This window comes from Homo sapiens, chromosome 9 (genome assembly GCF_000001405.40).
Source record: "Homo sapiens chromosome 9, GRCh38.p14 Primary Assembly".
NCBI classification, from domain to species: Eukaryota; Metazoa; Chordata; class Mammalia; order Primates; family Hominidae; genus Homo; species Homo sapiens.
The window spans coordinates 106,447,362-106,470,214 of record NC_000009.12 but is presented as its reverse complement, the minus strand read 5'-3'; the positions used below and the strand labels follow the sequence as shown (position 1 = coordinate 106,470,214).

The window sequence follows — 22,853 nt, the reverse complement described above, 5'->3', positions numbered from 1 at the left end:
TACCCAATTTCCTTATCTGCAAAGTAGGACTAATTATATCTCCCTCCGGAGATAACATGAAGATAAAATAAGATAACGTGTGCAAAGAATAAGGCTTTGTGCATTAGTGATTGCTCTTATTTTCATTAGCATTATTATTTTTATTATTGCTTGATTTCAATGCCTTAGAATGTTTAAGTAGCAAAAAATTTCCTATTTACTATAATTGATCAAGATTTCATAATATTTGCAAACTAAACATCTGACAAAGGACTAATATTCAGAATCTACAAGGAACTCAAATTACTAAGAAAAAAATACAAATAATCTCATCAAAAAGTGGGAAAATGACACGAACATTTTTCAAAAGAAGACATGCAAATGGCCAACAACATATGGAAAAGATGCTCAGTGTCACCAATCATCAGGGAAATGCAAATTGAAACCACAGTGAGATACTACCTTACCCCAGCCAAAATGACCATTATTAAAAAGTCAAAAATAGTAGATGTTGGAGTGGATGTGGTGAAAAGGGAACACTTACACTTTGCTGGGAAGGAATGTAAATTAGCACAACTTCTATGGAAAGCAGTGTGGAGATTTTTTGAAGAAATAAAACTAGATCTACCATTTGATCCAGCAATCACACTACTGGGTATCTACCCAGAGGAAAATAAGCCATTATATCAGAAAGACTCCGGCATACATATGGTTGTCATAGCTCAGTTCATAATTGCAAAGATGTGCAATCAACCTATGTGCCCATCAACCAATGAGTGGATAAACAAATGTGGTATATACACACTGTGGAATATTACTCAGCCATTTAAAAGAACTAAATAATGTCTTTTGCAGCAACTTAGATGGAGCTGGTGGCTATTATTCAAAGTGAAGTAACTCGGGAATGGAAAATCAAATAACATATGCTGTCACTTTTAAGTGGGAGCTAAGCTATGGGTGTGCAAAGGCATACAGAGTGGTAGAACGGACATCGGAGGCTCAGAGGGGGAAAGGTGAGACAGGATGGGGTGTGAAAAACTACATATTGGGTACAATGGACACTATTTGGTGATGGGTGCACTAAAACCCCAGAGGGTACCACTATACAGTTCAACCAAAAAACACTTGTACACCTAAAGCTGTTGAAATTTAAAAAATAATTTCATGCTGAAAATGTGACATAAATTATAAAAATACAATACAAAAAATGAATCAGATACAGCATCTGGGCAAAGGAGACCACATATAATAAATTACCTACTATGTGCTAGGCTCTTTATGTACATTAGCTCATTTAATCTCCCACTTATCCCATGAAGTAGTCATTACCACTCAGGTTTACATAGGAGGAAACTGAGGCTGAGATAAGTCATCCCCAAAGTCTCATAGATTTAATGTGGGAGAGCCTGGATTTCAGCTCAGGCCCTCCTGTTTCCAGGTTTGTGCTCAGTCCACTGTATTATCATTGAGTATCTACTATGTGTTAGCCTTCCCCCACTCAAGAAATTTACAAGCAAGAGAAACAAATGACTTGTGCTGGGTAGAGAAAAATCAGAGAAGGCTTTTTGAAGGAAGTGAAAGTCCAACTGGGACTTGAAAGATGAAATGAATTTACCAGGTGGGAAATGGGAGAGTAAGAACATTTCTGGCAGGGGAATTCAACATGAGCAAAAACAAAAGGACAATGGTACACTCTGATGAGCTGGGCAGGGTGTGTCTCATACAGTTGGCTACATCAGCTTTATTTTTCACCTCTTGCATCACTCACTTGAGACAGACTCCATTCCTCTGGGCAATAATAATAATAATAATAATAGAAAGATTGAAAATTAGTGTCAATAATATTTTTCTCTCCACCTGTCTTCTTATCAATAGCAAAAATCTCTTATGCATTCTGAGTTACTGTCCTTTTGATCTCCATGGGAGTTTTATATGTCAGTCAAATGCCAAATGTGCAATAGGGAGCTCCAGCATGGACAAGGGTGTTTGTCTTTCTCTTGCACGTCAGACACAGCTGGTGTGTGTACATAGGCACATGCACACACACACACACACACACACACACACACATGCACACACACACACCAGGGAGGAAGAGACAGTTGGGTCCAGCTCTTGTTCTTCAAATACTATCAAGGAGGCTCAGTTCATTTTTCTTTGCTAACCAGACTCCAGGTCCCATCTGCTCCTTGAAAAGCAGCAAGGTCAATGCCAAGTTCCCTTTCATCATCCATATCTGTGGCTGAGCTGTCTGCGGTGGCAGAAATGAATGTTCTCCATAGCTCTCAGCTCTGGGGTGGCCACTTCCAGCCTGCCTACAAATTGTGATTATGCTCCAGTACAACCAAGCAAAATACACACTGCTGTGTCTGTGTCCTTTGCATGGCAAGGCCATGGGAGAGAAGAGCCTTCTTTGGAGGTAGCTGTTCCACCACCCAAGGTCAGCCTGAGCCTGTTGAGAATTGCAGCACACACACACGAAGCCTAACATATGTAACATGAACTCTGCGGTTTTCCTCTGGTGCTTGGCTTAGCTGAGGCTGTTACATTTCAGATCTCCAGCTCTACAGAAAAAAAAGTCCATACGTGTTAACCATGCCGCCCCTGAGATTAGATCAAAATTCTGATTTGAGAATAAGGTTAATCATAGGTTCATCACATGGTGACCTATGCAGGCAAGGTCGCAACTCAATGAGGTTGTTACTGTGCAAAGACCAGATTCAGAGGGAACCCTATAGGTTTCCACAGCTCTGGCTGCCTGGATTCCAAGGGGAGGGGGCTCCAAGCTCCAGGCTGATGCCTGCAAGGGAATGGGGGTGGGGTGGGGAATGTTACAGGAAGTGAGCTTGTAAACTTGGTCTTCATAGAACTTCCCCTGGTCAATTAGCAATGCTGCATTCAGTAATGGAAAGGAGAAAGAAGCTCTTAGCAATTTGGCTCATGAGCTTATTGAAGGAAAAAAGCCCGTGTCTCCTCTTGGGCTGAAAGGCTCAGCTCCATTTGGAAGAGCACAGAGAAACACGACTTTGTAATGCAAGGTTAAGAGGACCCGGTCAGGGATCAGAAAAGAAAAACATTTCCAGAAGTTGGCATGGTAGGGATGAAAATGAACTCTGCTACTTTGTTTACAATGATCTGGGGTCATATGACTTTCCCCACATACTAAAGCAGGTCTTAAATGCTGGCTGTAGTTTAACTCAGCCTTCTCGGTAGAGAATAAGCACCTGGGTTCAAATCCTGGAGCCAGGTGTGAATCCAGGCTCCTCAGTTTATTAGCGATGTGATCTTGGGCTAGCCATTTACCCTTACTTAATCTGTTTCTTCATCTGGATAATGGAGTTAATAATAAAAGGGACCAGAGTTTGTAAGCAAATGCACCAACAGGCCTAAATACTTATTATGGATAAGTCAGTAATATTTTTCCCAACCTCTCAAACTCCCTCTACTGCTCCTGTCTGATCTGCGACCTCTCTTGCATTTATTTTATTCTGGAACCACAGAGAGCTTCTGAGATTCTCTTATGCTAGGCCAGTCTAATGTTTATTGCATTGCTATAAAGAAATGCCTAAGACTGGGTAATTTGAAGAAAGGAGGTTTAATTGGCTCATGGTTCTGCAGGCTGTACAGGAAGCATGGTGCTGGCATCGGCTTCTGGAGAGGGCTCAGGAAGCTTACAATGATGGCAGAAGGTGAAGGGGAAGCTGACATCTCACAGGGCAGAGCAGGGGCAAGAGAGAGAGCATGAGGTTCCACACTTGTAAACAGCCACATCTTGTGAGAAGTCACTATTGCGAGAACAGCACCAAGATGATGGTGCTAAACCGTTCATAAGGAATCTATCCCACTGTGATCCAATCACCTCCTACCAGGCCTTACCTCCAATACTGGAGATTACAGCTGGCATGAGATTTGGGCAGGGACACATATCCAAACTATATTACTTGCCATCTTATCTACCATTTTCCTGTGAATGTACACAGGGACACACACACACGCACACACACACATGCACACACGCATACACACACACACACAAAGGAGAAAGAAAATTCTGGTCCAAGCCTTCAGGGCTCTATCCCTTGACACCTACTATTTCCTCTGCCTGGAAACCCTTCCGCTATTCCCAAATGTCTTCAAAACACTGCTCAGACTTTTCTTCCCTTATGAACTTTCATTGAGGCTTAAATCCTTCCAACACAACAGAGTTCATCAGTCTTGTTTCCCTTCTCTTTGTTCTAGACTATAATAATACATGTCTCTCATTGCATGGATCACATTCTGTTATATTTATCTGTACATGTGTCTCTTGCTCCCACTAGAAGGTAGAGCTTGAGGGTAGGGTCTATGTCTACTCTGTGTCCCAGGTTCTTTGCATAATGTCTGAAACATAATAAATGCTCATAAAATATTCCTTAAATTGACCTGAATTTAGCTCAGTGGGGCAACTGAAAACAGTTTTGATTAAAACATTTATATATTATTTTAAGGTTACCCAACTGTTTTTTTACAGACTGCCTCATTTAATTCTTATGGCAATCCTCTGAGGCCAGGAGGGCTTGAGGAATTTTATTATTGTCATTTTTGGATACGTGGGAACTGAGGCTCAGAGTATAAAAGCTGTGTGCATGGACATCCCACTAGTAGATTACAGAGACAGGACTAGAACCAAGGTCTGTCTATTTCTAAGGCATTTCCTCCACTGAGATTTGCTGAGACAAAAAGCGATTAGGGGATACTTCTGTTTTTTCCATAGCACTTCATCCACACTTCTATCTGTCATGGACCATACTGTACATATGTCTCTCTCTGTAAATCACTATCTCTTTTTTTTTTTTTTTCCTTTAGAGACAGGGTCTCACTGTGCAGCCCAAGTTGGAGTGCAGTGGCTATTCATAGGCACAGTCATAGCTCACTGCAGCCTCAAACTCCTGGGCTCAAGCGATTCTAGTGCCTTAGCTTCCTAAGAAGCTGCCATTCTAGGTGCCCAACACAGTGCCCACTGGTCACCAATTTCTTTTTTTTAATTTGAGATGGAGTCCCACTCTGTCACTCAGCCTGGAGTACAGTGGTGCCATCTCAGCTCACTGCAACCTCCACCTCCTGGGTTCAAGAGATTCTCCTGCCTCAGCCTCCCAAGTAGCTGGGACTATAGGCATGTGCCACCACACCGGGCTAATTTTTGTATTTTCAGGAAAGACGGGGTTTCACCATGCTGGCCAAGCTGGTCTCAAACTCCTGACCTCAAGTGATCCACCCGCCTAGGCCTCCCAAAGTGTTGGGATTATAGAAGTGAGCCATGGCACCCGTGGTCACCGATTCTTAACCTGTGCTGCCCCATGATGTGCAGGAAAGATGAAGTTTACTTTGACTACAAAGAATGAGATGGGATACACCCAAAATGAGCTCTAGATGATGCACTCTTCTTCTGGCACCAGGTGAAATTCTACATATTTTCCTCCATTTTGGATATGATACGTGAATACAACCAAAAGTAATATTATTATAGAGCTACCTTCAGCTCTTCCTAATTAAAATTAAAAACCATTTACAAGTGATATTTCTTTAAATTGTATTAATAACAAATGATTTGCCATTTACCTTACAATTATTCACATCATGATCAACATATCATCAAACAGCAATTGAGAATTGTTGAACTTTCATACATATTTACAGAGACCCAAACTGTATTGATGGCTGGGGATAAATATTAAAAGAAAATGGAGTCTTTCTGTTATTGTGGTGTCTGCAAACAAACAAAAATAAGCTGGCAGACAATTAAATGATTATAAATGTTTAAATAACATAAATATAAAAATAAAGAGTTAACCCTTCCACAACATGAGGTTAAGGGTGCTGATCCTATGAACATGAAAAATCCATGTATAAATGTTGGCTTCCCCAAAACTTAGCTACTAATAGCCTACTATTGACTGGAAGCCTTACCAATAACAAAAACTGTCAATTAATATATATTTTGTATGTAATATATATTCTATACTGTACTCATAATAAAGTAAGCTAGAGAAAAAATGTTAAGAAAATCATGAAGAAGAGGATATGTATTTACTATTCATTAAGTGGAAGTGAATCATCATGAAGATCTTTCTCCTTATTGTCTTCACGATGAGTAGGCTGAGGAGGAGGTGGAAGAAGAGGAGTTGGCCTTGCTGTCTCAGGGGTGGGAGAGATGAAAGAAGATCTGTGTGTAAGTGGACCTACAGTGGATAAAAATCCATGTTGGTCAAGGGTCAACTGCATATTATAGACAAAAATATATATGCATAAATATCATAATAATTGTAAAGAAGCACATGCAGCAGGAATAACAGGACCTGCTTCAGGTAGGTGGTCATGAAAGGCATCTTGAGGAGGTAACATTTAAGCTGATAAATTAAGTAGTGGTCTCCAGAAAGAGGACTCACTGACAAAAGACTGTGTCAGAGACCTACTAAGATGTAGAAAAAATGTTAACCTCAATTGATATTTTTAAAATCAAAAAATAAGAAGTTAAATTCTACTAATATCTACCGATGTTCTCTCTCTATCTCTCTTTTTTCCTCCCTATGCATTTGTCAGATGTCATATGTCATCTGTGGGACCAAACCGTGTGACCACATGTTACACATTTCAAATTGTAGCAAAAATAACAAATGGATTTACTCCTTCATTGTTCTGTTGAATGTTCTATTTTGGCAGCCCCAATTTCCAGAACAAAGATAAAAGGCCAAGAGGCTGATCCCAGGAGCAACTCTACTTTTGCCTCAGGATTTTTCATGTGACCACATGTCACACGGTTTGAGTCTCTGGAGAGAGAAAATGGAATTCCACAATGTTGAGGGAGAAAAAAGACAGCAGCACCTCACTTGTTCCTTCTCTTTCCATGATAGTAATACATAACGCTATGTATAGCAGTATATGTAAATGCCTGGTTAAGCAAATTTTCAGATTATATTATCTAGTTTTCAATAAATGAAGACTGTCAAAATTGACAGACAGCTTTAATAGTTTCTTCCAAAGAAACCATGGATAAAAAATAATCATAATAAGGCAAATCCAAGCAACAATAAAACAGCAACTGAGACATCTATTTTTAGTATAAGATCTTCTTATGCTTCTTTATGGAGTGAAATGATAGTCATATGTACATGACTTAAAACATAAATTTGTACCAAATATCCTTAACAATGTATTATTAATGAAGCAAAATAATTATTTAAATATTATCTTATCTTTAATACTTATGTTATGCATCTATATTTGTGTATATTTCATAATGAAAATAATATGTTAGCAAAGGAGTACTTGTATATATATTATAAATAAATAAATATAGTTAATTTAGTAGTACAGGTTCAATGTTTTTGTTTGTTTTGTTTTGTTTTTCAGATGGAGTCTTGCTCTGTTTCACAGCCTGGAGTGCAATGGCATGATCTTGGCTCACTGCAACTCTGCCTCCCAGGTTCAAGCGATTCTCCTGCCTCAGCCTCCCGAGAAGCTGGGATTACAGGCACCCACCACCATGCCCAGCTAATTTTTTTGTATTTTTAGTAGATATGGGGTTTCACCATGTTGGCTAGTCTGGTCTCGAACTCCTGACCTCAAGTGATCCACTCACCTCGGCCACCCAAAGTGCTGAGATTACAGACAGGAGCCACCTCACCTGGCCAGGTTCAATGTTTTTGCCCCATGATAATCAAAAATATTTGAAGACTATGGATGTAAGGGATGAGAAGCAATTAGCCATGTGACAAGTAGAGAAATAGACAATCTGGGCAGATGGAATGGTATCTGCAAAGGCCTGTTTGAAGAACCGAGGAAAATCCAGTATAGCTGGGGTGCGTACCGTGGAAAGGAAAAGTAATGTGAGATGAAATGGAGTGATAGGCAAGGACAAGTTCACAGAGGACCCTGGACTATAGTAAAAGATTTATACTTTAGTGAAATTACCAAGACCTTTAAATGTTTAAAGCAGTGATGGAATGATGAAATTTAAGTCTAAGTTTAAAAAAAATGTATATGGCTGTTATTGGATGATGAAATCATGCTGGGTAGACATGGAAGTGAAGCAACCAGTTAGGAGGCTGGTATAGTAATTCAAGCAAGAGATTATTGTGTCATGAACCAATGTAGTGACAGTATAGATAAAGAGAAGCAGATAGATTTTAAAAACATGTTGGGTATTAACTCAACAGTACTTGCAGACGGATGGAATGAGAGTGGGAAGTTGATGAAGAGAATGAAGAAATCAGGAAAATTTTCCAGGTTTCTTGCTTGAACAACATAATGTAAGTTGGTATTATGTATAAAGAAGGGGAGTGGGTTTGATGACAGAATCAAGATTTCTGTTATAGGAATATTAGGTTTGAGATTTCTGTGGGAAATTTAAGAGATGATGGTAATCAGGTGGTTGGATGTACATGTTGTATGGAACTCACAAGAGAAATACCATTGGCTGTCCTTAGCTGTTAGTACCTTCAAGGTAAGATCTAACATCTTTAAAGCCTTAGGACTTGGCTCATTACAGTGATAGGCGCTGAGAAAATGTCTATTGAATCCAGGAGTTTGGGAGAAAGGGAGTAAAGGGAAGAACACTTGACTAGAATTTGTAGGTCAAGGTGGCAGCCATTGTCCCGGCACATACTAGACATAGACCTTCCATAGCTAATGGTACAGTCATTCTCAACTGAAAAGGAGCAATTAGGCATGTCAAAGTCAATGACAAAAGAAAAGTGCCTCAATCAGTTCTGGGACAAGCTCTGAAAAATCCTGAGGCAAAAGTAGAGTTTCTCCTTGGATCAGCCCCTTGGCATTTTATCTTTGTTCTGGAAATTGGGGCTGCCAAAATAGAACATTCAACAGAACAATGAAGGAGTAAATCCATTTGTTGTTTTTGCTACAATTTGAATATCAACTGAAAAAAATTTAAGATCCATTAGAAAATTTAAGGAAGTGATTAAATATAAGATACATTTTAAAAATTCAATAGTTTCCCTATATAGCAAACAGTATTAATTAGAAATATAAATACAAAAAGTATTCAATTCATCCTGAGCCTCCCCTGCCAAAAAACACCCTAAGACTAATCTTCATGAACAATGTTTAGGAATAAAGTAAACAAAACCTATAAAACTACCCTGAGAAATATAAATTAAGATTTAAATAATAGGGAGGCAGATTGTCCTCCTATACTATTATTATCTTTAGTATTTCAAGAGTACAAATTCTTCCAAATTTTGGTATAGGACTAAGAAAATGACAGTCAAAATCACAATGGAGTTATTTTTTGAACTTGGTGAAATCACTCAAAAGTTTATATTGAAGAATACACATGTGAGAATCAAAAGCCAGTGGGTAAAGAAGAGTGAGAGAGGAGGAGCACAGTCTGTGGCCCAAGGTAAAAGCACAAGGATTAGGACAAGATAAGGGCCCTCTTTATATAACAAGGGTTTCTACTCTCTCTGTAGGTGCTTGATACCACCCATATATCTGGTAAGCATCCGAGGCCAATTTCAGAACTTCCATTTAACTGTATCATCCGTTATAACAGAATCTTTCATTCTGGCATCTAACCCATTGTTTTTATAATTTTTTAAAATGGCTGATTTCTCACTAGACTATTTTTTCATATTTATATTTCTACTGTCTAACACAGTATGTCATACATTGAAATTGTTTCACAATATTTCTCATGAACAAATGAATAAATGTTCTGGAGATCCTAGTACTTTACTGCTGTATTCCTGGATCAGAATTTTGTTCAGTCAATATTTATTACTAATAAATTAGCACTGACTAATGCTACGAGAGATACTAGAGAAGCCAAAAACCATTCCATTGATGAGAATTATTAAGCTTCTTAAGGGAATTATTTCTAGTACCTCTGAGTACAGATTATTTGTTTCTCCAAACACCTGAATACCTATTTCTCAAACCTCTGACATTTTACAGTGACCACTTAAGAACAGCCACATATGGTATCCAACCTGAGTTAGAGTCCTGGCAATGGCGTGACTTAAAAGGGGCTCTCAAGCTTAATAGCTCCTGTGTTTTCTGGATTTATAAGGAAATGTGTCTTTGTTTTACTCACAAAAGCATTTTTTAAGAGATCTCAAGAATTTGAAGGTTTGAAATGATAAAAAATGCTCATATTTTTTCACAGCTAGAAATCTGGAGCAGGGTTTTACTACCAACCTCCTTCTTCCTGCTTTGAAGCAAGAATAGGAAGCTCTTGCTGTTTATTACTGCTGGTTCATCAGACAGTCAATTTTAAGGCCATATTGGATAGTTATTGATTGATGTTCTTTTTCAAAATTATTTGAAAATCCTGACAATTCATTGTCTATTTGTGAACTTTGTTATTCAAAATGCTGTTGAATGAACCTCACTTAACTGAAAAAGTAGTCTGGTTGTCCCTGCTTTGTGCTATACCCACCAGTGAGCTCATAGTTCAAAAGTGAGCTCATAGTTCAACAGTTTTGAGATTGTTGTACATTCCCTAGCCCAAATGTCCTTTCAAAAAAAAAAAAAAAACCCCGAATTAATTGTTCACAAGTATGCACCAGCCATTATATTGGATATTGGGGATTTAAAATAAAGAAGACTGCAGTAGCCCCTGTTTCTATGTTGGTCCTTCTGGACTATTCTCCATATACCAGCAAAAGTGCATGTTTGAATGTGGAAAAGTAAAACCACATGTCTCCCTTGATCAAACTCCACAATGATTTCGTATCAATCATGGCCAACACAATCCTACCTGAATTGGCCCCTGCCTACCTCCCTTCCTGGTACCCTCCTCATTCATTCCATTCCCATTACACTGACTTTCTCCCTTTTTCATGAACCTATGAAGCTTCTCTATTCTAGACATCTGCATTTACTGTACCCTCTATTTGTAAATCTCTTCCTCACGTTTCCACGTGGTTTGCTTTCATACATCTCAACTCAAAGTTCTTTCCTCAGAGAAAACTCCCTGACGATTATTTCAAAGTAGCAGCATCACCACAATCACTTTCTAGCCTCGATTCTGCTTTGCTTTTCTTCAAAATACTAGTAATAACCTAAAATTATATCACACATTTGTTTATTGTCTGTTTCAACATCTCTGTGACATAAACTTCATATAAGCATAGACTTACTTGACTTGTCTATACCTATATATCCACAATGCCCCATGCCATAGTTGCTCAATAAATATTTTTGAATGGAAATGAATGAATGCCTGAGCCTTGTCCTTGGGGAGTTTCTAGTGCATATAGACACATAAATAGGTAATTATTTAAAAATTACAACAACTCTGTCAGCTACATGTTATTATTTGTCTTTAAGAGGTGAGGAAACAGGCTCAGAGAGGCTAAGTAATTTGCCCTGGGTCTATCAGGTAGTAAAGTGATTAAAATTTAGATTTAAACCAGAAACTATATCACTCATAGTGAATCCACCAATTTCTTCTGAATAACAGATTAATCTTTGAAGTAAGTTAATGTAGAATTTGCTTATTGCATATAAACTTTCCATTTTTTTGGCACACAAATTTTAGCAGTTGCCCATATGTACCTATTTTATATCATACATCAGAAGCAATCTTCTACATACAAAACAAAAAGCTTACTTAGAGAGACATATCAAAAAGTCCTCTTATAATCTCAAATAATTAAAAAAAAAATTGGAAGTATCCTGAAGAGTCGATATCAGAGAATTGGTATTGTCAGTTGTGACTATTCATTACAGTAGCATGTTACATGGCCCCTAAAGGTTACATTTAAAATATTTTTCAATAACATAGAACATTCTCGTAATCTATCATTTGGTGGAAAACATAGATTATAAAATTAAATGCAAGATGTTAATTTCTGGCCATGAAGGAGTAGCCTGTATCAGACTAACCTTGCCACAAGGAACAACTATCTACAGTTGCTAGATAGAAAAACAGCTATTTGAGGGAGATTAACCAAGGTATCCAGGGCTTGACAAACCAAGATCCCAGAGAGAAATGAAAGAAACTGAGATAAACTGTATGTACATTTTTGCCACTTTCTCTCTTTGGACCATTTGCCCATTTGCTATGAGGACATAGGATCAACAAATAAAATGGAAGAGTACATATTATGGCAGTATTAATTGGTGAGGAAAACAAAATCAAAGTTTAGGCCTACCAATGCAGTCAGAAGTTAAAGGACCAAGATTATGGTGGAAAGAGAAACAGAAAACTGAACCCAGCATTCTGAGCACAATTTCTTCTAGAGGCATTTGCCAGTGTCAAAGTGTGTATAGATGATAGTATAAAACATCTTCTAAGGAGTCAGAAGGCTAAACAGTGATTTCATTAGACTCGACGCTGGTAAAATAATTAAACTTCAAGGAGAAGGGGTCCTGGTAAACCATTCACAGCTTCAAACTATCTTACTCCCTGATTGGACTGAGGTAATCTATCCATACACAAAAGAAGAAAGATCATTTCTGAAGGAAGAGAAAATCATTCAATGCCTTCAGAATTTTTAAAACAAAATGTCCAACACTCAATCCAAAATTACTAGGTATGCCAGGACACTGGACCAAATGACCACCTGTCTTCCCCAAAAAGACAATAATTTGCATTAAAAACCTAAAGGTAATCTAAAGGTAATCTAGCAATTAGACTTATCTAACATGAACTGTAAATAGCTGTGTTTACCATGGTTAAAAAATAGATAAATATGTGGAGAATTCTAGTAAAGAACCGGAATTTATAAAGATAACCAAATAAAAATTCAAAGATTGAACATAAAAGAAGATTGCTTTAACATAACAAAGGAAAGCAGATGGGAAATTAATAAACAGCTCATAGGTCAATACAAAATATACAGATTGAAGCACAGATAAATAAAACAAAAATATATAAAACAGCATAATATATGGGATATGCTGAAGAAAATTAATATACACACAAATGAAGTCTCAGAGGAGAAAAGAGAGAAAATTAACAGAAACAATATTTGAAAAGATGCTAGCTGAGAATTTTCCAGAACTGTTAAGGAATGACAAGTCATAGATTCGAAGAACCCTATAAACCTGAAGTAGGACAAACACAAAGAAAACATATGACCTATTTTAAAAAGAAAAGGGAGGAAATGGGAAAGGAAAGTAAACCTTGGGATCTCAAAATCACTAAGCCAAAGAGAAAAGTCAAGCTGGGAACTGTGTCAGGCAAACCTGCCTCCTATTTTATTCCTAAATAAGATAGCTACAAAAAGAAAAAAAAAAAAAAGCTATATACCTCCTTCACAATTTTCTCACTAGGAAATTCCTTGTGTACTTCAAGATCTTTACCCTAAAATGGTACTGTTGAATTTTACCCTGACGATGTAAATTGTTAGCTTACCTTCAAAGGTATGGGACAAAGGACAGAACTCTAAGTCGACCCTCTGCTCACCTAAGAGAAATGCATATCTGATTACTTCCTCTGATTTAAAAATGCAGATTCATTGAGCTAGACAAAGCCAGAAGTTACTATTCCTCTACTCACTTTCACATGTAAATCATGTATTTGGTGAAACGCTGATCGAAGACTCAAAAGAATGCAACTGTGTGTCTCTTCTCTACCCACACCTTCAAAAACTTTCTTCCTCTTTCCCCAGTGTCCACCCTGTCCCCTTTAAATATTGAAGCCCTCAAAATCATCTTTGGAGGAAGAACAGACTTACCTCCCAGGCATGAGTCCTTACCCTTGGCAAAATATATTCTCTAAATTAAAAAAAAAAAAAGAAAACATATGTAGGTATATCATAGAAAAACAGCATCCAATAAAAGACAAATAGAAAATGAAAAGCAACCAGAGGGGGAAAAGACATACTACTTTTAAAGTAGCAATAATAAGAGCCACAGCTGACTTTTCACTATAAATGATGGAAGGTATTAAACACTGCAATAAAATCTTTAATTGGCTGAAAGATAACTGCCAATCTAAAATTCTATGCCTAGTAAAAATATCCCTCAAAAATTGGGGTGAACTAAAGACATTTTCACACATCAAAAAATATTGGCAGTATTCATCACCGGCCAAACCGTACTGAAAGAAATACTACAGAAAGTTCCTCAGACAGAAGAAATGTTATTCCAGATGGGAGCAGATAATTCAGGAAAAATGAAAACAAGCATGAGTAAAGTATATTTCAACAGGAAAGGGATTGAAAGAGAGTGAATAGAACTAAAGTTTTGTTCAATTTTTGCATTGTTCAGGAAATGATATAAGTTAAGAGAGACATTAATAAGCCAACGATGCATACTGAAATCTGTAAGATGACCACTAAAAAATAATAAAAGAAGTATATATGCAAAAAGAAGAGAATATACAATAATTTTAAAAATAATTAGTACAATAAAAAAAAGAGACAAAAACTGAAAAGGACAAGTAGAAAATAAATAAAAATAATATATTTAAACCCAAATATATCAGTGATGTATTAAGCACAAATGAACTAAATATTACAATTAAAAACCTATGTTTCTCAGATTGAATGCAGAAAATAAACTATATGTTGATTATAAGAGACAAGCCTTAAAGCATAAAGACACAGAAGGCTGATACACCTATGTAAAATCAAATAAAGTCATTTTGAAAGCAAGAAGTATTAGTAGAGATAAAGTGTAATATTTCACTAAAGAAGATTGATTTAAAAGGAAGATGTAATAGTTCTAAATTTATACGCATCTAATAACATAAGATCAAAAGATACAAAGTAATAACTAACATAAGTAAAATAAACAAAAATTCCCAATTATGTAGTTTTTAACACATATATCTTAGTAACTGATAGAAAATAGACAGAAAAGACTGGGCACAGTGGTTCACGCCTGTAATCCCAGCACTTTAGGAGGCTGAGATGGGTAGATCACCTGAGGTTGGGAGTTCAAGACGAGCCTGACCAACATGGAGAAACCCTGTCTCTACAAAAGATACAAAATTATCCTAGCATGGTGGTGCGTGCCTGTAATCCCAGTTACTCGGGAGGCTGAGGCAGGAGAATTGCTTGAACCTGGGAGGCCGAGTTTGCAGTGAGCCGAGATCATGCCATTGCACTGCAGCCTGGGCAATAAGAGCGAAACTCTGTCTCCAAAAAAAAAAAAAAAAAAAAAAAAAAAAGGAAAAGGAAAAGAAAATAGACCAAAAAAATGGAGAAGGAAAAAAAAAACAACTCAATGAAAATGACTTTACACATGAATTCCTAAAATCAATTAAGGAGGAAAAATAATACAAATTTAAAAATCTTCCAGAGAATAGTCAATGTATTCTTTATTCCAGAGAATAGAAAGTCAGTATATTCTTGATATGAAAACCTGGCAAGAACATTACAATAAAATAAAATTATAGGCAAATTTGTCTCATGAGCATAATTGCATTTTTTTTTTTTTTTTAAGGCAGAGTCTCACTCTGTCACCCAGGCTGGAGTACAGTGGTACAATTTTGGCTCACTGCAACCTCCACCTCCCAGGTTCAAGAGATTCTCCTGCCTCAGCCTCCCAAGTAGCTGGGATTACAGGTGCCTGCCACCACACCCGGCTAATTTTTTGTATTTTTAATAGAGATGAGGTTGGCCAGGCTTGTCTTGAACTCCCGACCTCAGGTGATCCACCTGCCTTGGCCTCCCAAAGTGCTGGGGTTACAGGTGAGAGCCACCACGCCTGGCTGCAAAAATACTAACCAAATCTTAACCAAAATATTTGAAGATAAACCCAGTTATATATAAAAATGGTAATGCATTACAACCCAACTGGGTTTGTTTCAGAAATTTAAGATTGGTTTAGCATTCAAATATCAGACTAATTTACTACATTAGTTGCATAAGTAGGAAAATAATTCAAAAAACCATTTGATAAAAGTCAATACAATTTCATAAGCAATACATTGTATACAGAAAATATAAATAAATCACATGAATCAATAAGCAAATGAGACAATCCAATTTTTAAAATGACCCAGTGTTTAGAATGAATATTCCAGAAAAGGAGATCTGCAAATGGCCCAAAATCATAGAAAAATTACCCCATAAATTAATGTGATGGATTGAATTTTGTCCCTCAAAAAGATATGTGGAAGTCCTAAACCCATGAATAGGATAGTATTTGGAAACAGAGTCTTTGCAGATGTTATCAGTTAAAATGAGGTAATACAGGATTAAGGTGGGCCCTAAACCAGTGATTTGTATCCTTATGAGAAAAGGGAAAATTGGACACACAGAACACACAGGGAGAATGCCAATATGACAAGGGAGGCTAAGATTGGAGTGATTACAAGCTAAGGATTCTCAAGGATAGCTGGCAACCACCAGAAGCTAGGAAGAGCTAAGAAAGGATCCTTCCCTAGAATCCTCAGAGAGAGCATGACTCTACCATGTTCCTTGATTTCAGACCTCTAGCCTCCAGAGCTGTGAGACAATAGATTGCTGTTGTTACAAGATACCCAGTTTGTGGTAATTTGTCATAGCATCCCTAGGAAGCTAATACAATTAGCTATAAGTGAAAGATTAAAACTCTTCATTGAAAACCACTACATACTTGTCATAACAGCTAAAATGAAAAAGACTAAAACACTTGGTTTGGGCAAGGGGGTAGAGTGATAAGAACTCACATATGCTGCCAGGGAATGAAGCTGTGGGGTAGAGTGTAAATCAATGTGATTATTTGTAAAAATGTTTGACAGTATCTGCAAAAACTGAACATATTTTGCCCTATGAGTTAAAAATTCTTGGCTGGGCGCTGTGGCTCATGCCTGTAATCCCACCACTTTTGGAGTCCGAGGCGGGTGGATCATGAGGTCAAGAAATCAAGCCCACCCTGGCCAACATGGTGAAACCCCGTCTCTATAAAAAAAAAAAATACAAAAAATTAGCTAGGCATGGTGGCGCACACCTATAGTCCTAGCTACTCAGGAGGCTGAGGCAGGAGAATCACTTGAACCCTGAAGGCGGAGGTTGCAGTGAGCCGAGATTGCGCCACTGCACTCCAGCCTGGCAGCAGAGAGAGACTCCGTCTCAAACAACAACAACAACAAAAACCCACAATTCTACTCTCAGGTATACACCCACAGATGTGTGCGTACATATTCATCAAAAGACATGTAACCAAAAATTATTTTTAATGGCCCTCAAATGGAAAGTAGGCAAATGTTCATCAACAGTTAAATGGATAATTAATTTTTGGCATATTCATACAATGGATAAGTATACAACAATGAGAATGGATAATCTACAAGTACTTCTAGTAGTATGGAAGAATATCACAAACATTATGCTAGAGAAAGAGGTTAGATCCCAAAGACTAAAACTTATTTGATTCCATCTACATAAATTTCAAAGCAGGAAACTCTAATGATAGAAGTCAGAATACTGGTTGCTTTGTGGGAGGAGGTGGTGAACTCAGAAGGGAGTAGGAGCAAAGTTTCTAAGGCGCTGGTAATATTTTATATCTTTATCTGGAAAGTGGTTACATGGGGACGTTGACTTTGAAAAAATACCTAGAACTGTACACATAAGACTTGTATTCTTGTGTGTGTGTGTGTGTACACTTCTATATACCTTCATCAGAAAACCTTTTAAAAATTGCCTGCACAAATACAAGTATACTTGTATACGTATACTACCATAAGCAAGAAATACACCTAGCAAAAAGGCTTCAGAGTGACCACATCTGGATGGTGAGATTACATGTGACTTTTATTTTCTTGCTCAGATTATTGTTAATTTTTCAAGTGTTTTGCAATGATTTAGTTCTAGATGAAGAAAAAATACCCTATAGTTGTTTTATTTTGGGATCATATGGTCATCCGTTTGATCATACTATCAACCTGGTAGAAGGGCAATGGGTAGATATGTTTATATAGTTGGTGAATATATTTCATTCCTCACCATATTTGTGTCAGCTCTTAGGTTTTCATCTCAAAAGGTTGTGTTCAAATGTGTTATCAAATCATATGAATAAGAATTATATTGTTGAATGGAAGTACAACAAAATACAGACACAGTCCAATGAGTGCTCTAGTTCCACTGTCTTCGTATATGAGGACAAATCAGAAAAAGGAGGCCATTCATTCAAAAATCAAAGTCCATTTTCCTAACTACACTGGAGATCAGACATTATTATTAACATTTTGTTAGCTTCCTATATTGCCAATGGCCTCACAAATGCTTAGTGAAGTGCAACTTTTATTCCTCAAAGTCTACTCTGTTGAGATGGGCTGAATGTTGAACAAATGCTCTGTACAGAACCTATAGCCACACAGAAGTATCCAAATCTCTGTTTCTTCTGCCTAAGGGTAATTGTCCATTCTGTCCTGACTTTTAAAGTGGTCTGTCTGACCCACACAGCATACTTCTAGGACTTTATCAATACCCATGGGAGAAGATGTCTGTCATCTCACTATCCTGAAGTGATATAAAGAAAAAGCACGGCCGGGCGTGGTGGCTCACACCTGTAATCCCAGCACCTTGGGAGGCCGAGGCGGGCGGATCATGAGATCAGGAGTTTGAGAACAGCCTGGCCAACATAGTGAAACGCCGCCTCTACTAAAAATACAAAAAATTAGGTAGGCTTGGTGGCAGGCACCTGTAATCCCAGCTATTCGGGAGGCTGAGGCAGGAGAATCACTTGAACCTGGGAGGCAGAGGTTGCAGTAAGCCAAGATCGGGCCATTGCACTCCAGCCCCAGTGACAATGTGAGACTCCATCTCAAAAAAAAAAAAAGAAAAAAAAGAAAAAGAAAAGAGAAGAACAAAGAAAAAGCACAAGCTTTGCAGTGAATCAGATCTGAGTTTAACTATGAGGTCAACCATTCAGCACTGTACAACACTGGGCTCCCTCCAAAACCTTCTTTATGTTTAGCCCATTCAGTTCAACTAAATTTAATCTGTCAAACATTAATTGAAGATCTTGAGTATATTAGAAATTGTGCTCAATACTGGAACTACAAAGGGAAGTGTGCAAATTTATAGTCTCTATCTTCAAGGAGCTAATAGTCTGAAAAACAGGGAGAAATGCCACATCCTCCTCACAGTTTTGTTTTGAGAACTAATGCAGTACTATTTAAAAGAGTAGAGTACAATTTGTCCATAGGGTAGGTGTTCAGTGTTAGTTCCATTTTGTCTTTTCTGTATTGCCAATCTTTCCTAAGCTTGTGATTTCGGCCAGTTATTTTACCTCACTGCACTTCTGTTACCCCAGTTGCAAAATGGGGAGAACAGATTTTTACTACACCCCTCCTGCAATAACAAACAACTCCAAAGTTTTAGTAAATTTATTCTAGTTATCTATGGCTTTGTAAAGAATCATTCCCAAAAATTAATGACTTAAAACAACTATGTTTATTTCACTCACCAATCTGTAATCTGAGGAGAGCTCAGTGGGAACAACTTGTCTCTGCTCCAGTCTCTGCTCCATTACCTGGACTGGCTCCAAGCCTGAGGACTGCATCATATGAAGGCTCACATGTGCAAGTGTCTAGTGGTTCATGCTGGCTCTTGGTTGGGACCTCAGCTAGGAATGTGCCTGGAATAGTTACACATGACCTTTCCATTGGCTTTGTCACAAGCATGGAGCCTAGATTTCCCAGGCTAGTATCTCAAGAGGAACAGATGAAAGCTGTACTGTATTTAATGACTCAGACACAGAAGTTATATAGTGCTAATTCTGCCATGGTCACAGACTGTCCCAGATTCAAGGAGAGGGAACATAGACCCTACCTTTCAATGGGAGAGTGCCAATGTCATCATGTAAGAAGAACATGAAGATGGGAAATATTGATATTGGCCTCTTTAGAACAATGTGACATAGGTTTGAAAGAAAAAAACTTTAATTTTTGCCCATACTTTATAGCCACTGGAAGTCACATGAGGAGCCCTAATCATCATAATCACATGGGGATCCAGGCTGATGGAAGTTTCATCTTGACATATAGTCCCATAATTGGTGAGGCAAGAAAAATGAATGTAGCATACCTCATAAAGCTTCTACCCAAGAGTGATATTTGTCACTTCGTCTTACATTACATTGGAAAACATTTCACAAGGCTAATGCTAAACTTCAAAGAGGGTAAAGAAGGGCATATGGCTGGAAGGAAAGAACCGGATTATTTATGAACAGCCCTAATGACTAGCATACACACCACCTAGGGCTGTTGGGAGGATTCAGTGGGATAAAGAACATGAGGAGTATAGTATAGGACAATCCTAAATGACTGAACATGTTCTCTAAATCTCAGCTATTATACTTACAACTACGTTGTTTATAAAATGGCCTGGCATTTTTCTAGCCATACTATCCAACACTGAGACTCAGAAAATGACTGCAGTGTGGAGAATGATTCTTGGTATGGGGATCTGGAGAAAATAGGACTTGCACAGCCTTTATAAGGACCCAGAATTCAAACCTTTTTTCTTCCATTACTGTTAATAATGTAGTCCTCTCACAGGAAGACAGTTGGGTTCCAGGCATTAGCTATCTAAACAAAACAACTTGACAGCCGTAACAGGAAGCAGACTTAGCCTTGGAAGAGAGAGCATGAAACTTCAAAAATCCCCACATGCAAAGAATGATGTGCCCATGAATATGCCTCTCCAGAAATGTCATTTTGTCTTTCCCCTCACAAAATAGTGTTTCTGCACTAATGACCTCTCTTCTCAATCTGTCCTTTGCCCAACTTTGATGTTGCGTTGACCTCCCGAAAAGCTTTGGAGTAGGCAAGCTAGTTTTCAAATCTCAGCTTCACTATTTACTACCTTTGTGATCCTCGAGCAAATCACCTAAAGTCTCTGAGTCTCCTCTGCAGATAGAGATGAAAGCATCTACCAGAATTTACAGACAACTCATATAAATCTTGTAGCTTGAATTGTGTTACAGAGTAGACACTGAAATGTTACCTCCTCCTTTCTGTGTCCAAGTTCTCAGATTCCCCAAGGAGAATTTAATGACACCCCCTCCACTTTTTGCTCTTCTCGGCTCTCTTTTTTCTCATTACATTCACTGCTAATGTCCACTCAGTTTCTGTTTGTGACTCCTCAGGTTTTGTTCTCACTTTTTGGTATAAAAAAGTCAACTCTCAAAGTAGCTATTGTAATAATAATTATTCCAAATTTTAAACCAGCTCTCCTTGAGAGGCAAATTATTCTTTTTTATTCTTATATTCTTATATTTATTATTATTATTATTATTTTTTTTTTTTTTTGGAGACGGAGCCTTGCTGTGTCACCCAGGCTGGAGTGCAGTGGTGTGATCTCAGCTCACTGCAACCTCCACCTCCCGGGTTCAAGCAATTCTCCTACCTCAGCCTCCCGAGTAGCTGGGACTGCAGGCACACGCTGCCACGCCCAGCTAATTTTTTGTATTTTAGTAGAGATGGGGTTTCACCGTGTTGCCCAGGCTATTATTTTTTGGGGGATAATTTAGATCAAATGAGAATTATTCTTTGAAAGATTCAGAGAATGAATTATATAAACTTAGTTGTGGAGACAATTTTAATCTTTAGTAAGATTTTTAGTCTTTACTGTAGTTATTGCTTAATTCACCCTTTTTCTTCTTTAACCAGTTTGGGAATTTCCCCCAAATTTTTCAATTTCACTGATATGCTCAAATTTTATTAAAGTATAATATATTCACAGCATTCTCTTTTTTAAACCAAAATCTATACCACAGTGAGTTTTATAATACTTTTCTAATTTCTAAGATTAATTTAGTTTTTATCTGTTGACTAGTTAGATTTTTTCAAAGATGTCTCCATTTGTTTGTTTCTGCAAAAAATAGGACTTTGATTTATATATCCTTTTAAATAGTTGCCAAAGTCAAAGGTTTTTGCTTTTATTGTTATCATCCTTTAGTTCTTCTTAGTATAGTTTTATGCTTTAATTCTTTCACATTTAGGAAAAAAAGCATTTAGTACTTAACATTTCCTTTTGAAAACAGCATTGGCTGTACTTCCTAAGTTTTTTGTTTGGGTGTTCTCATTTTAAATACTTAAAATAGCTTATACTTATAGTTTGTCAAATTTATCTTCATCCCAGTAGTAATTTGGAGCAATTATATTTAAAATTTCAGTTTGAGAAATATTTAAAACTTATACTTGTAAAAAGCATTTTTAGTTATCTGGCGTTATAGACTGAAAATGTGGTATCTGCAATATCTGGCTATTGGAATATTCATTTATTCATTTTTATATGTGTGTTTGCGACCTAGTTAATAATTATAGTTTAAAATTGTTTCATTAAACATTCAAAGCAATTATATTTTCTGTTGTTAAGCAAAACCTTCATGTTTAATGCAGTATATAACTAACTATATATGCACATATACAGTGGCTCTTGAAAAACATGAGATTGGTGGGGTACCAACCCCCACATAGTCAAAAGTCTGCATATAACTTTGCACTCCCCAAAAACTTTATAAATGGCCAACCGATGACTGGAAGTCTTACTAATAACATAAACCATCTATGAACACATATTTTGTATATGTATTATATACTGTATTCTTACAATAAAGTAAGCGAAAATGTTATTAAGAAAATCATAAGAAAGAGAAAATACATTTAACATTCATTAGGAAATGGATCATCATAAAGGTTTTCATCCTCATTGACTTCATGTTGTGTAGTCTGAGGAGGAGGAGGAAGAGGAGGTGTTGGTATTGCTGTCTCGGGGGTAGCAGAGGTGAAAGAGGTGGAGAAGGTGGAAGGGGAGGGAGAAGAGGTAGGCATACTTGGTGTAACTTTATGGAAATACATCATAATTTCTTCCTTTTTGTTTTTTTGCTTTTTCATTTATCTAAATATGTTTCTGTAAGGATTCTAGTCCTTCTTCCACTGTTTTCTTTAGTTTAAGTGCCTGTATCATAGAAGGGTCCATGTTATAAAA

At 37.4% G+C, this 22,853-nt stretch overlaps 1 long non-coding RNA gene across 6 annotated transcripts in view, besides 2 other annotated features; it reads right to left on the bottom strand.

Moving 5' to 3' along the window:
• The window catches only part of LOC107987108 (uncharacterized), a 675,821-nt gene that overhangs the window by 134,587 nt on the left and 518,381 nt on the right, over nt 1–22,853 (bottom strand). For 4 of the 6 annotated variants that reach the window (XR_007061714.1, XR_007061711.1, XR_007061715.1 and 1 more), the window contains exon 1: nt 19,327–19,399. The exons of the other annotated variants lie outside the window; for them this stretch is intronic. This is a non-coding gene — a long non-coding RNA (uncharacterized LOC107987108). Of the gene's footprint in view, nt 1–19,326; nt 19,400–22,853 lie in introns of those variants that run through there. 6 annotated transcript variants of the gene reach the window in all.
• Nucleotides 1,739–2,435: an enhancer, noted in NCBI's record as "H3K27ac hESC enhancer chr9:109230061-109230757 (GRCh37/hg19 assembly coordinates)". NCBI's record gives its function as "activates a minimal SCP1, AML or CMV promoter by ChIP-STARR-seq in naive H9 embryonic stem cells {active_cell/tissue: H9 hESC(naive)}" and the evidence as "EXISTENCE:reporter gene assay evidence [ECO:0000049][PMID:30033119]".
• Nucleotides 13,133–13,710: an enhancer, noted in NCBI's record as "OCT4-NANOG hESC enhancer chr9:109218786-109219363 (GRCh37/hg19 assembly coordinates)". NCBI's record gives its function as "activates a minimal SCP1, AML or CMV promoter by ChIP-STARR-seq in primed H9 embryonic stem cells {active_cell/tissue: H9 hESC(primed)}" and the evidence as "EXISTENCE:reporter gene assay evidence [ECO:0000049][PMID:30033119]".